This window comes from Homo sapiens, chromosome 17 (genome assembly GCF_000001405.40).
Source record: "Homo sapiens chromosome 17, GRCh38.p14 Primary Assembly".
Taxonomy (NCBI): Eukaryota; Metazoa; Chordata; class Mammalia; order Primates; family Hominidae; genus Homo; species Homo sapiens.
Genome location: NC_000017.11, coordinates 67,845,821 through 67,860,273, shown reverse-complemented (window position 1 = coordinate 67,860,273; position 14,453 = coordinate 67,845,821). Strand labels below are relative to the sequence as shown.

The following is a 14,453-nucleotide window of genomic DNA, read 5'->3' as shown; positions in this document are numbered from 1 at the left end:
TTTTAATCTCATTTTCATAAAAGATGTAAAATCTTTCAGATTTGTCAAAATTGTTGACACATATCACTATGTTTAAAGTTTCCTACTTGATTTTACATAGAAAAATACTCAAAATATCACAGCATGGAAAAAGATAATCCTATTTGCCTGAAATCATCTTTAAAATCTGTGCAGTTTATTATGCATCAAAAAAGGCAATTTGAATGACGACCATAGCTTTTAAAGCAAATAAACTTAAATGAACAGTTTTATTGACAAACATAAGTATTTTACTGTTCCACTAAGAAAAATAAAATATTTGATTTCCTCGACAATGTATCAAAAAATCACCCACAGGTACTTAAAAAGTCATCTGAGTCACGTGATTTCAAAGGTCTGCATTTATGTAATTATCGAATAGTATATATTTTGCTTCCCTGAATGCTGTTTCGTAGACTGATACTGATATATTAGGAAACAGAACTTTTCTGAAATTGCCACTTAGTTTAGATTTTCTAAAAACGCCTTTATTTCAAATCTTTAAAGATTTCATAAATACTCACTGCAGATATAACAGAAACCATTATAGTATCTTTCTCCCCAAGTTATAAGCATTGGTTTTAACAGCTAAAACGATGCAAGTTGCAGATTTCTCAAGAAGGTTTGAAAACTAGACTACAGTATAAAATAAGGTATTGAAAATATTCTTATAAAACACATTCTAAAAAAAATTCCAGGTTCTACCTCCTAAGAGCCACAGGGTCTTGGGCAAATCAAGGGCAAATTATTTAACCTCTTTGAGATTTAGTCTCTTTATCTATAAGATGCAGACAAAAATAGTGCCTGCAAGGCAGGGCATGGTGGCTCAGGCCTGTAACCCTATGATTTTGGGAGGCTGAAGTGAAAGGATTGCCTGAACCCAGGAGTTTGAGACCAGCCTGGCCAACACAGTGAGACCTCTTCAAAATAAAAAATAAAAAAATTAGCTGGGCACGGTGGCACATGCCTGTAGTCCCAGCTCCTAGGGGGGCTGAGGTGAGAGGATGGCCTGAGCCTAGGAGACTGACGCTGCAGTGAGCCATGATCATGCCACTGCACTCTAGCCTGGGCGACAGTGAGACCCTGTCTCCAAAAGTAATTAATTAATTAAAAATAAAATAATAATTAAAAAATATAGTACCTACATTATTGGGCTGTTGGGAGGATTAATTTTAAAATACATAAAATGCTTAGGACACTGTGAGGCACACATGAAGTGCTCAATAAATGTTGCTCTTGGCTGTTACTAACTTATCACAACTACTTCATTTTACAGGTCTCTGAAACTAAGACCTATACCACTGATTACTGTGTAATGAGCCTTAAAGATGTCAAGGTTTTTCTGTATGTGGACAAGACACCTTTGGTCTGTATCTGGCCAAAAAGGGCAGCACAGGGAAAGAAAGAGGCAGTGAGAGTGAATATCCAAAGGGTAAGGACAAGCAGCACAGAAAGGAAGGCACAGGAATGGGAGAATTGGAGCATGGACTAAATTTCACTTACTTCCTAATTTGTTCCCAGCCATCCTGATGACTATGAGCTCCTTTCAGGAGGGCACTTGAGACTGCGTGAACGTGACCTGCTAACTGCTGAATGTCTATACAGAGTACAAGCACCGGGCTCCCTGACAGGCAGCATCACTGAATTTCCACTTACAATGACAACACAGCAGTAAACTTTTTTTTTTTTTTTTTTTTTTTGGAGACAGAGTCTCACTCCATCACCCAGGCTGGAGTACAGTGGCGCCATCTCGGCTCATTGCAACCTCCGCCTCCTAGGTTCAAGCGATTCCTGTGCCTCAGCTTCCTGAGAGCAGTAAACTTTAAACTTTAAAAATGTGGTTACAGTTATTTCACCATTTGGAATGACCTTGCTGACAAAGGTTTCCGTGTTACCACCTCAACAGCAAAATGTCAAAACAAAGACAAAAACAAAAAATGGCACAATGAATACCATGACCAGATGTTTGGGAGGTAAGGGAGCAAGAAAAGAAAAAAGTTACACATATTTTACACATATTTCTTAAAATATCTGATCCAAACCAAAAGACACAGAATATACATTTAAAACCTTAAGTATTGTTTCTCACAGCAGTTTCTGGGTTAAGGTGACAGATTTCATTTTGTTCCCTCCTGAAACCTTCTTAAAACCATGCTAAAGAAATATTGTTAGCCGGGCACGGTGGCTCACGCCTGTAATCCCAGCACTTTGGGAGGCTGAGGTGGGCGGATCACAAGGTCAGGAGTTCGAGACCAGCCTGGCCAATATGGTGAAACCCCATCTCTACTATAAATACAAAAATTAGCTGGGTGTGGTGGCGCATGCCTGTAGTCCCAGCTACTTGGGAGGCTGAGGCAGGAGAATCGCTTGAACCTGGGAGATGGAGGTTGCAGTGAGCCAAGGATCGCGCCACTGTACTCTAGCCGGGGCAACAGAGTGAGACGCTGTCTCAAAAAAAAAAAAAAAAAAAAAAGAAAGAAATATTGTTAGTCTAGACGCAGTGGCTCACGCCTATAATCCCAGCACTTTGAGAGGCCGAGAAGGGCAGATGGCTCGAGCTCACAAGTTCGAGATCAGCCTGAGTAACATGGTGAAACCCTGTCTCTACAAAAAATGCAAAAATTAGCCGGGCATGGTAGCACACACCTGTAGTCCCAGCTACTTGGTGGGCTGAAGCAGGAGGACTGCTTGAGCCCAGGAGGTCGAGGCTGCAGTTAGCCGACATAGTGTCACTGCACTCCAGAGCCTGGGTGACAAAGGGAGATCTTGTCTTCAAAAAAAAAAAAAAAATCTGCTGTCCAGGCACGGTGGCTCACACCTGTAATCCCAGCACTTTGGGAGGCCGAGGCAGACAGATCACAAGGTCAGGAGATCAAGACCATCCTGGCTAACACGGTGAAACCCCGTCTCTACTAAAAATACAAAAAATTAACCGGGCACGGTGGCGGGCACCTGTAGTCCCAGCTACTCGGAGGTTGAGGCAGGAGAATGGTGTGAACCCGGGAGGCGGAGCTTGCAGTAAGCCGAGATCACGCCATTGCACTCGCACTCCAGCCTGGGCGACAGAGCAAGACTCTGTCTCAAAAAAAAAAAAAAAAAAAAAAAAATTGTTAAAGACGAACTCATAAGGATAAAGTAGGGGAGACATGGTAACAACAAAAAAAGATTTTAAAGTAGATGAACAAGTGATTACTGATTCAGCAGACCCAAGAAAGCCTGATCTCAAACTAAAAAGGAAGGTGAAGTTGAGAACACAATCCTCAAAACGCAATGATAACAAGGAGGGGTGTCTCTAGAATAGGGAACTGGCTGGAGCAGATTCCTAAACCACCATTCTCCCCTTCAAGCTGCCAAAGGTCTAGTCTCTAGAGGAGGTAAACTGAGGTTCCCTGGACTGGCAGAAACCACGCTCAGTTGTGAACAAAGGTACTGTACAAAAAACTGAGGATTTAAGTGACAATACAAGTAGTAAATGCTGTGTGCACAATAAATGAAGCTTTCTTCCACCACTCAGCCACCAGAATACCACCAGCAAGACCTTCATGCTTCAAGCAGGACACAGGAAAAGGCCCTTCCATGCCATTGCTCCTCTAGAGCTTACTCTCGAGGACAGACCTCAAGATACTGACAAGAGGGATTTCCCCCAATAAAAAAGACAATGAAAATCATCCAATGGTTAAGTCAAAATTGATAAGGCCCACCCACTTGCTCAGAGCTTCCAACTGGCTACATAGTACCACAATGTTAATGAGGAGCAGAAAATTAAGAATTAATAAACATCTGAATATGAAATAGAAAAACCAAAACAAAGAATAGGAAAAAGCAACTTAGAAGAAACAGACCATGCACAGAGGAGAGAAAAAAACCTGTCATTAATAGCCTCAGAAAGGTAAGAGAAAATACTATATCCAAGACACAGAAACAGGATTTTACTATTTTTTTTAAAGGAAGATTCTAAAAACAAAAGAGCTCTTAGATAATAAAAATATGGTAGCAGAAAGGAAAAACTGGATAACAGGGTTGGACGACCAAGATAAGGAAATCTTAAAAAACTGAACACATACAAATACCCCAAAGAGAAAAAGAGACAAAGAGGAAAACTGGAGAGAAATGATAAGAAAGTCAGAAGACCAAAATAGGAAGTCCAACGTTCAATAAAATCATAGCTCAAGATAAATACAAGAGGGAAAAGAGGAAGTTGTCAAGAGAAGTTCTCAGAATCAAAGAACGTAATTGCCAGATTGAAAATGCCCACCAAAAATACCTCGTGGATGAAAGCAGCCCACACAAGGGCGTATCACTGTAAAACTGCAGAACACCATAGACAGCGAAGATTCCGTAAGCTTCCAGCCACAAAGAATCAAGAATCGGTGTGGATTCAGACCTCTCGACAGCACACTGATAAAGTTTCAACTCTCCTTTCCATGCCCTGCTCTGACATTCATTTCATCCTACCAGATTTTTTCATTTGACCTAATTCTAAGAACTGGAAGAGGGCTTTGAAGACTTCAGAAGCTGAAGACACAAAGTAGCCCATCCCTCTGACCATATATCTACAGGATGTCAGATACTCAGTCCACACTATAACCCTGCCTGATGCCCTGACTGAGGTAAACCCTGAGACTGTCTCCTGACCTCGCCCACAGGCTTCCCAGAAGAGCTTCTCGAAACCCTCAGGAACACTGAGGCCAGACTATGACCCTCAGTCTGTTGGGATCATCTTCTCCTGGGGGATTCCAACCAATAATGGCAGAACTGACCTTTCCTTAGACAACTAGGTATTTTCTTGCTGTTCCATTTTACATACAGATATGGTAAAACCAAAAAAGAAGTAAAACAACCCTAACACCAAAGTTAAGGGTGGATGAGCTGAGCTAGGCTATAGAGGAACATAACCAAAAACAGGCCCACAGTGGCATTCCACCTAGAAACTTTTTGTTTATTTATTTATTTTTGAGACAGAATCTGTCTCTGTCACCCAGGCTGGAATGCAGTGGTGTGATCTCAGCTCACTGCAGCCCCTGCCTCCCAGGTTCAAACAATTCTCCTGTCTCAGCCTCCTGAGTAGCTGGGATTACAGGTGTGCGCCACCACACCTGGCTAAGTTTTGTATTTTCAGTAGAGGTGGGGTTTCACCATATTGGCCAGGCTGGTCTCGAACTCTCAACCTCAGGTGATCCACCCACCTTGGCCTCCCAAAGTGCTGGGATTACAGGCGTGAGCTGCTGTGCCCAGTCCCAACTAGAAACATTCTATTTCCTAGCCTAGGCATCAAAAAACAATGGAATTTTGCTTCTTTCATATATGTTTCCTTTACCTTCTTAAAAGCTATTTTAATGCACATATTCCTTCAATTAAGAAATTATTTAACTGTATAACTATTAAGTTACAAAGGTTTATACCACATCAACAGCATAGCTCTGCTACATCAATCACGAAGGAAACTAGTCTAATTTTAAATGCATACAAAAAATTAAGACCAGATTTACTTACATTATGAGTCTTCGGTTCAAGAACCAGTATTTCCTCCGACTTCTATCATATCCAATAGGTTCATGTCGAATATATGGTTTATTTTTTTGGATTTCAGCAACACAGTCAGTCACACCAGGCACCTTGTGTGCTACACAGACTTCACACTGCCACTCGTCCTCTGGCACCTCCTCAAGAGGTGGCTTCACACATTCCAAATGGTATACTGCTGAACATGTCTCACAGCAAAGCAAATCCCCAAGTTTGTGACAAACCCTACAATGGTCATCATACTGTATCACCCCTTCAGACATCAATTCCTCTCGAGCAATATTTGTTGTAAGAAACTGATCGACTAGAAACTGTAGAACTTTGATCTTGTTCTCTACTGGTCCATATGGGTAGTCCTCTGCCTCTTGGTAAGGAAGAACGTGATGGTACTCCTTATCACTCTCACAGTACACCCGCAGCACCTCTGGCCACGTCATCCCATCTATGAAATACAGTGTGGAATTAACGCTATCTTTCAGATCAGCAGGTCCAAAGGTAGTATTGGAAGTGTCTTCTTCACGCAGAACTGCTTTCAAAAGCACAACATGCATCTCTGCCATGAGTGTGCACTGCTCTTGGCTCACCAGAGCTGCACAAAAGTCCTCAAAGCGAAAAGGAGATAATCTCAAAACAGTGCCAAAGTTCCGCAGTACCTCGTAAATGGCAATGACATTCATTATATGCTCATTAGGCACCATTAAATCCTCAGAGGACTTGGGAAATTCAAGGGGCGGGATGTCTTTTTCTTCCAATATAGGAGAACGAGGCCGATGTACTCTTGGTTTTCGCCTACCTGTAGATAAAGACGTGACATCATTACAAATCAATACATTACATCATTTCTACAAATTTCCTATTTGAACATATACCCCCCTAAAATACATAAGTACATTTCTTTAATAATTGTCAAGTTAAAATAATACGAAGAAGCAATGATTCAGCTCTAATTTTTAAATCTATAGAAAATCTAAATGCAAAGTTTTCCCATTAGATTATAAACCAGAAGTAAAAAAATTATAAATTATAATCAGTTCTCAATTACCTAGAGAGATTAACAGGCTCACAGGTAATCATGATTAAAAAATAACAGTGTCAGAACAAGGATCTCTAAGGAAATAATAATAATAATAATAATAAATAACTGCATTTGTGAATGATTTGACAAGAATATAAATGAGAAAAAACATTTACACATAAGATACACAGCACAAAGTAGGGGCAATAGATCTCACACTGTCAGCTGCAATACAGAAATGCCTGTCAACAACCAGACACGAAGTTCCCAGTGCAGACCTCTTTTTTTGTCAGAAGTACCTCCTAAGTGGAGTTCCACAGCGAAGCATGGGCTCAAGGTGAAGACAGAAAGGAAGGAAGTGCAGAGGAGGAGAAAAGAGAAGAATTCCAATGCTGGGGGAAAAGAAAAGTGGCTTACCTAGGAAACAGACAACAGACTACATTTCTTAACAGTCAGTTAAACAACTTTTTAGATACCTGTTCTCCAATTATGAGATGTGATGTCCAGATATACATATGTAAGTATATAAATGTATCAATATAAATAACTGAGAGTTTTGTTTTTAACAAACGTATCTATCTCATTTAATCACCTACAGCCGTCGCCTAGGCTGGAGTATGGTGGCGTGACCTCGGCTCACTGCGACCTCCGCCTCTCAAGTTCAAGTGAGTCTCCTGCCTCAGCCTCCTGAGTAGCTGGGACTACAGGCAGGCGCCACCACCCCAGCTAATTTTTGTATTTTTTAGTAGAGATGGGGTTTCACCATATTGGCTAGGCTGGTCTCGAACTCCTGACCTCAGGTGGTCCACCCACCTCGGCCTGCCAAAGTGCCAGGATTACAGGCGTGAGCCACCGCACCCGGCCCATTCTGATCTATTTTTGGGAGAGTATAAATTGGTTGGATTTTTAGAAGGTAATTTGGCAAACATCTATCTGAATGTATGTCCCTTTGACCCTGTAATTCCACCTCCTGGAACTTATCCTGTAGTCACACATTCATTTAAGTACAAAATATTTAATTCAATATAGTTTACAAAAGCTGAAATTTTTATGTGGGTTTTCTTTTTAATCTAAATATACATAAATAGTCAAATGAATTATGATGCATCTACAGAATGGAATCAAATTCAGTAGTGGTAAAATTCCTATGTGTTAAAATGAAACAATCTTTAAGATACAGTGTTAAGCAGAAGGAATGAACAGCTACAGAACAATGAATAGAATGTCATTTGAATAAATAAACTAAAAATAAAAAGGAGGGCAAGGGGATAGTGATAAGGTATATATATATCTAAGAGGTCATATAAGAATCTTTTTATAGTACTTGCTTCTGGGGAGAGTCGGGGGACAGGAAAAGAAGACTAATTTCTTTTTACTTTTTTATACTTTAAAAAATAATTCATACATGTATTTTCGTTATAAAATTTTAAAAGAAAAAATTGGACAGGTATCTATAAAAATATAAAAATATTAATACTCAAATCAATAAAATGATGCTGCCACTAATGACTACTCATAGTCTTGTATAAATACAACGTCATTATACTAAATTCAAAGATTCAAGTTTATAGAATTGAACATAGACTACAGTGTTTAAAGAGAGAACGACATTAAATTAAACCACTTAAGCCCCTCAACTGTCAATCATTAGTATTAGCAAGTCAAGTCATTTCACTTCTTCACAGAAGTGTATTTAGAATATGCCACTGAGCATTACACTCATTATCAATTTCAACACTAATCTGGTATCTCTCTACCAGGTGAATTATATTAATTTTCCTGCATTAAAAAAAAAAAAGGACCCCAATCTCACTAGTTAGCAAGGAAAGGCAAAGTAAAACCACAATGAGATAACTGTTCTCAGACTCCTCAATGGAAAAAAATTTAACAGTTTAACCAAACAAACTGTTGGGAAGGATGCAAAACAATGGAAACACCAGTATACCACCACTGGGACTGTAAACTGGTATCACAACTTCAGAGAGAAATTCAGGATTGTCAAGTTTAAGGTTCTGCTTATAACTGAACAGCCTGCACACCTGTTTGCCCACAACCAAAGTAAGAAATATATTTTACATCTTATCCAGTACACATACCCCTGAAAACAAAAGCTCTATAAAACACTATTCTCACTACATGCCTTATACTAATATCTTCTCTCCTACCAACATTTTCTATTCTATTCTCTTTCTACTTTTAAAACATGCTGCTTGCAGCTCACAATTAGAAAAACACTTCTCTAGAGAAACTATCCTTATGCATACGCATGTGGAGGAAAAGTTAAATATTAAATCTGAACTCAATTGAACGTGCACACAAACAATGGTCACCAAGTCTTGGAAAAGGTTGTGTGAGCCCCTTGAGGCGTTCATCCAGCACTGTTTCAGAGAAATCTCTATTTCAGTCTATTCCTATATGGTGGTTATTAAAAAAAAAAAAAAAAAAGCAGAAAATCGCAAAAACAAGTTGACCTTTTTGTGTTCCTTGAGCCCAGTCACGAAGGCCCCTTGTGACTGGACCTCATGCCAAACAACTCGTTACAAAAAGAGCTAGGGTCCCAGACTCTGCCGAAGCTTCATGAGACCTCTCCTTGTCTGTGCACAGATAAGTGGCCGACTCTGGAGCCCAGGCTGTTGCTTCCCAGTCTGGTGATGAATCCTCCATAGTCTGGTGAGTGTAAATATATATACCTCTTTTCCCTTCTCCTCTTTCCATTACAATTTGCTTATTGTATCAATTTGCTTATTATATCATTTGTTTATTATATCTGCATTGCCATTTACATGGGATAAAGCTTGTTTACCCTTAAAGGTATTGTGTGTGTGTCTTTTCTTCTCCCCTAGCATGTTTCCCACACAGAACAATGCAGAGCATTTAATATGTTTATAAAAGCAAAGAAACAATCAACCAAGCTGAAAACAACCAAAATGTCCATCAACAGGAAAACAGTCAAATTGTGGCTTATTCATTGGATAGAATTCTGTAGATCAATTTTGAGTAATTTAGGGCTATGCATATCAACATGGATCAATCTTAAAAACAAAAACACAGGGCCAGGTACAGTGGCTCATGCCCGTAATCCTAGCACTTTGGGAGTCCAAGGTGGGCAGATCACGAGGTCAGGAGTTCCGGACTAGCCTGGCCAATATGGTGAAACCCCGTCTCTAAGAAAAATACAAAAATTAGCTGGGCATGGTGGCACACACCTGTACTCCCAGCTACTTGGGAGGCTGAGGCAGAAGAACCGCTTGAACCCAGGAGACGGAGGTTGCAGTGAGCCGAGATCATGCTACTGCCAGCCTAGGCAACAGAGCGAGACTCTGTCTCAGAAAACAAACAAACAAACAAAAACACCATGAGGCAAAAGAAAAGTTAAGTTTTACAATATAAAACCATGGAAATACAGTTTATATACTACTTACGGATGAATACATACATGAACTAGTAGTTAATATCACCACTAGAATATAATCTCCTTAACGACAGGGATTTTTTAAGTTTGCCAATGTTAAGTAGTGGCTAGCATATAATAAGCTATTAAATAAACATTTATTACAAGAATTAGTAGTTTTGAAAGTGCTAGCCCATGCACTTACACAAGAAAATGATATCCTTGCATTATCTGACAACATTAGAAATGTGTTTTGATTTCTACGTAAGTAAATACAGGACTACAGTGAGAAGCCTTAAAACAGTGGTTCTCAAACTTCAGAGTGCATATGTCACTGATTCAATAGGCCTAGAATAGAGTCTGAGAACCTGAATTTTTTTTTTTCTGAGATGGAGTCTTGCTCTGTTGCCCAGGCTGGAGTGCAGTGGCACGATCTCAGCTCACTGCAACGTCTGTCACCTAGGTTCAAGTGATTCTCCTGCCTCAGCCTCCCGAGTAGCTGGGACTACAGGTGCCCACCACCATGCCCGGCTAATTTTTTTTGTATTTTTAGTATAGAAGGGGTTTCCCCATGTTGGCCAGGCTGGTCTCAAACCCCTCACCTCAAGTGATCCACCCGCCTTAGCCTCCCAAAGTTATGGGATTACAGGTGTGAGCCACCACGCCCAGCCGAGAACTTGCATTTCTAACAATTCCCAGGTTGTGCTGTTCTGGCGAACCATACTCTGAGAAACACCTCCCTATATCCTGATAGGTTATTTTCCCTAAGATCCAGATAAGTAAAAATTAATACACATTAGATGAAATTCCAGAAGTTACCTTCAAACCTTGCTATTCATTGAATGTCATGAAAATACTGGAAAAACAAACAAAAAATAAAAAACAAAAAACTTGCTACTCGACAAGTGACTGGCATTATCATGTTTGAGAGAAATTCAGAATCTCAGGCCCAAGCCCAGGCCTACTAAATTAGGATCTGCAGTTTCTCACGATCTTCAGGTGATTTATATGGTCACTGAAGTTTGAAAAGCTGCCCTGAAATGGAGGTGCAGCAAAAATCATCTGGTAAATTGTTAAAAGTAATCTCAAATGCAACCCAAATTCACAGAACCCCAGGTGAAGCTCAGTAATCTATATTTTTATCCTTCTCCCCAAATGATTCTGATGTGCGGCAAGTTTGAAAACCACTACTTTAAAGAAAATGGATACTCCCCTTACCAAGCAGAAAGGGTTTTGGAAACTCATGCAAGGGAAGCAAAAAGATGCCTCAGGAGGCACGATTACAACAGGATTGATGCAAAGGGAAGCTGAAGCTTAACCAAAGACATTAATGTACGCCCACAAAAGAAACTGCTAAGGAAGTCAAGTGGTCTGCATGAATTCTGAAGAAAAATGGAGAATCAAAGAACAAAATTTGTCAATGAATTTCCAGCACAGTCTAGGTTAAGGGAGTGAATTTCCTGACTGAATGGCAAACTCTGGACCACCTGATAGCTTATTACCTCGACGGAGTAATTATGTTACAATGTATAGGTATTCTAATTAGAATGACCTGGCAGTTATTGAGACAAAATTTTCTGCTCCTTTGTATTCTGTAACACAAAAGGGATCTACATGGATGTTCTCTTCTCTGAACTGTTCGGATGAACTGGTCAACAGCACTCATCATGCCTTGGTTTTTAAATACGCACTGTAGTCATAATCTGTTAATTAATTTCTCATATTTTTAATTTTAAAAAAAAGTTTGCCTACATATTTTAGACAGAAATTGCCTTACTTTGCTGAAATTCTGAGAAACCCTAGACAGTTTTCAAGGCCGGGCTCAAATGTCACCTCTACTACCCTTTGCTGTGCCTCCAGGTGCTGTGCTTCTGACACTTTGTACGGTCCTCCATGACAGCGTGAGCACAATTATATTACAGGCAATTACTCATGCCCCCTGGCTCATTTGTTGACTCCTTTAGAGGACAGATCATGTTTTAGTTATTGTAGCAACTAAAAAAATATTTGTTCAACCAATGACACCCATAAACAAAACTACCTGCCGAGGGCAGAGATGCAGGGGTAAAGTCATGCCAAGATCAAATCCCAGAAACCACTGTCGATTTTTTAGAGTTGACCCCTACATTTATTGTACTAATTCAAAAAAAAAAAAGAATTTACAGTGTTTTCAGACTTCTAGACCTCAAAAGGCAACTCTCTATATAATGTGTGTTTCTAGAAGGAAAAAATGTAACATTGTCCCCTTATTTCTGATTGGTATCTGAGAGAAAGTGGCCTCACTCGGTATTGGTATAGAGAAGGGGGAAGTTCATTTCCAGCCGAAGTTAATACTCCAGAACTAATAAAATCTAATTATTTAATCTACTGTTACATATATATAAACCATGAATGGCACATCAAGAAGAAATAACCTGTGATGCATTGAAATCTTTTAAAAATTATGAAACTTAGTTGTCAAATGTAACAAGGATTCACCTTTTCATGTGGAATAGTGTCCCAATCTAGCATTAACGTTATTACTGAACAAGGTTATGCTCTTCCAGTACATTCCATTTGCCCCCAATCCCTATCTTCTGTGTCAGTAATAATATAAAAATCAGCAGCTAGCTTTTATAGAGTGCTTTCTTTTTTCTTTTTTTTTTTTTTTTTGAGACGGAGTCTGGCTCTGTCGCCCAGGCTGGAGTGCAGTGGCGCAATCTAGGCTCACTGCAAGCTCTGCCTCCTGGGTTCAAGCCATTCTCCTGCCTCACTCCCAAACAACTGGGATTACAGGTGCCCACCACCACACCCGGATAATTTTTTTTTTTTTTTAGACGGAGTCTCACCCTGTCACCCACGCTGGAGTGCAGTGGCGCGACCTCTGCTCACTGCAAGCTCTGCCTCCCCGGTTCACGCTATTCTTCTGCCTCAGCCTCCCGAGTAGCTGGAATTACAGGCATGTGCCACCACGCCCGGCTAATTTATTATTTTTAGTAGAGATGGGGTTTCACCATGTTGGCCAGGCTGGTCTCGAACTCCTGACCTCAGGTGATCCACCCACCTCGGCTTCCCAAAGTGCTGGGATTACAGGTGTGAGCTAACACGCCTGGCCTAGAGAGTGCTTTCTATTTGCCAGACATTGTGCTAAGTAAGCATTTTAAAGTGCATTATCTTATTTTTATCCTCAGATCAACTCCATAAAATAGATACCATTATTACTTCCTTTCAAAGATGTTTATAGAGAGGCTAAATGACTTGTCCAAGGTCACAGCCAGTACCACTAAGAGTTACAACCAACACAGGTCCCAAATAAAACAAAAAAACAACAACAAACCCACAAGTCCAGCTGGGCTTGGTGGCTCATGCCTGTAATTCCAGCACTTTGGGAGGCCAAGGCGGGTGGATCACTTGAGGTCCGGAGTTTAGGACCAGCCTGGCCAACATGGCGAAACCCTGTCTCTACTAAAATAACAAAAATTAGCTGGGTGTGGTGACGTGTGCCTGTAATCCCAGCTACTCCAGAAGCTGAGGCACTAGAATTGCTTGAACCCAAAGGGCAGAGGTTGCAGTGAGCCCAGACTGTACCACCGCACTCCACCCTAGGCGACAGGGACCCTGTCTCCAAACAAACAAACAAACCCACACAAGTCCTAAGCTATGGTCTTTACTACTATATTAGACTTCCTCCCATATTGTTAAAAACCACCTGACTTGACCTCTCAGTGAAAGGGAATTTGAGAAATAACAAGTGCCTATTGTGCAGGTGGGAGAAATGACAGATAAAGGAGACAAATCAGTGAAGTGACAATGTTATAAAGTATGAGACCTGAACAAAAATTTCAGGTGCTTACTTAATAGCCATGTGTCTCGTGGCTACCATACAGGACAGTACACATACAGAATATTTCCATCATCACAAAAAGTTCTATTGGACAGCCCTGGTCTAGAGATACATCTAGGGACTACCACACAATAAGTGAAGTTCAAATAACCCACTGGGTTGTCAACACAAAGCTAAAATACATTCAGTATCCTCTATGCTGCCCAGGCTGCTCTAAAACTGCTGGGCCCAAGTGATCCTCCTACCTCAACCTCCCAAAGTGTGGGAATTACAGGTGTGAGCCACCATGCCCAGCCTATATTTTTAAAACTTTTCTGAATGTTTGGACTATTTTATAATTATTTTAATGGGATAACTTCTTTTATATTTGAAAGATTTATTTACAGAAGATTGCCACTAAATACAATGGTTCATCAACCACTAGTGAATGTTACCCTATATTCAAGAAAAAATTTTGCTTCAGTAGCAAAACAGGATAAAGAAAAATTTTGGCTTCGAAAAAGTTTAAGAACTCATTTAATGTCTTTTAGCCTTTGAAAGATAAAAATAGCTTTCATATACCTCTTTAGTTTTTTCCCCAAGTAAGTATGGCTCTAGGATAGTTTGGTAAACATTCCTAAAATGTGGGCTCAAAAACTGTAACATAAAGATCCCCTGTTTTTCTTTTTTATTATATACATTTA

General features: G+C 40.1%; 1 protein-coding gene across 47 annotated transcripts in view; it reads right to left on the bottom strand.

Annotated features, from left to right (window-relative positions):
• Positions 1–14,453, bottom strand: part of BPTF (bromodomain PHD finger transcription factor) — a 158,876-nt gene that overhangs the window by 124,105 nt on the left and 20,318 nt on the right. For all 47 annotated transcript variants that reach the window (XM_005257150.4, XM_005257154.4, XM_005257159.3 and 44 more), the window contains exon 2: positions 5,512–6,334. In XM_005257150.4, coding sequence (XP_005257207.1) covers positions 5,512–6,334 — 823 coding nt within the window. The remainder of the gene's footprint in view (positions 1–5,511; positions 6,335–14,453) is intronic.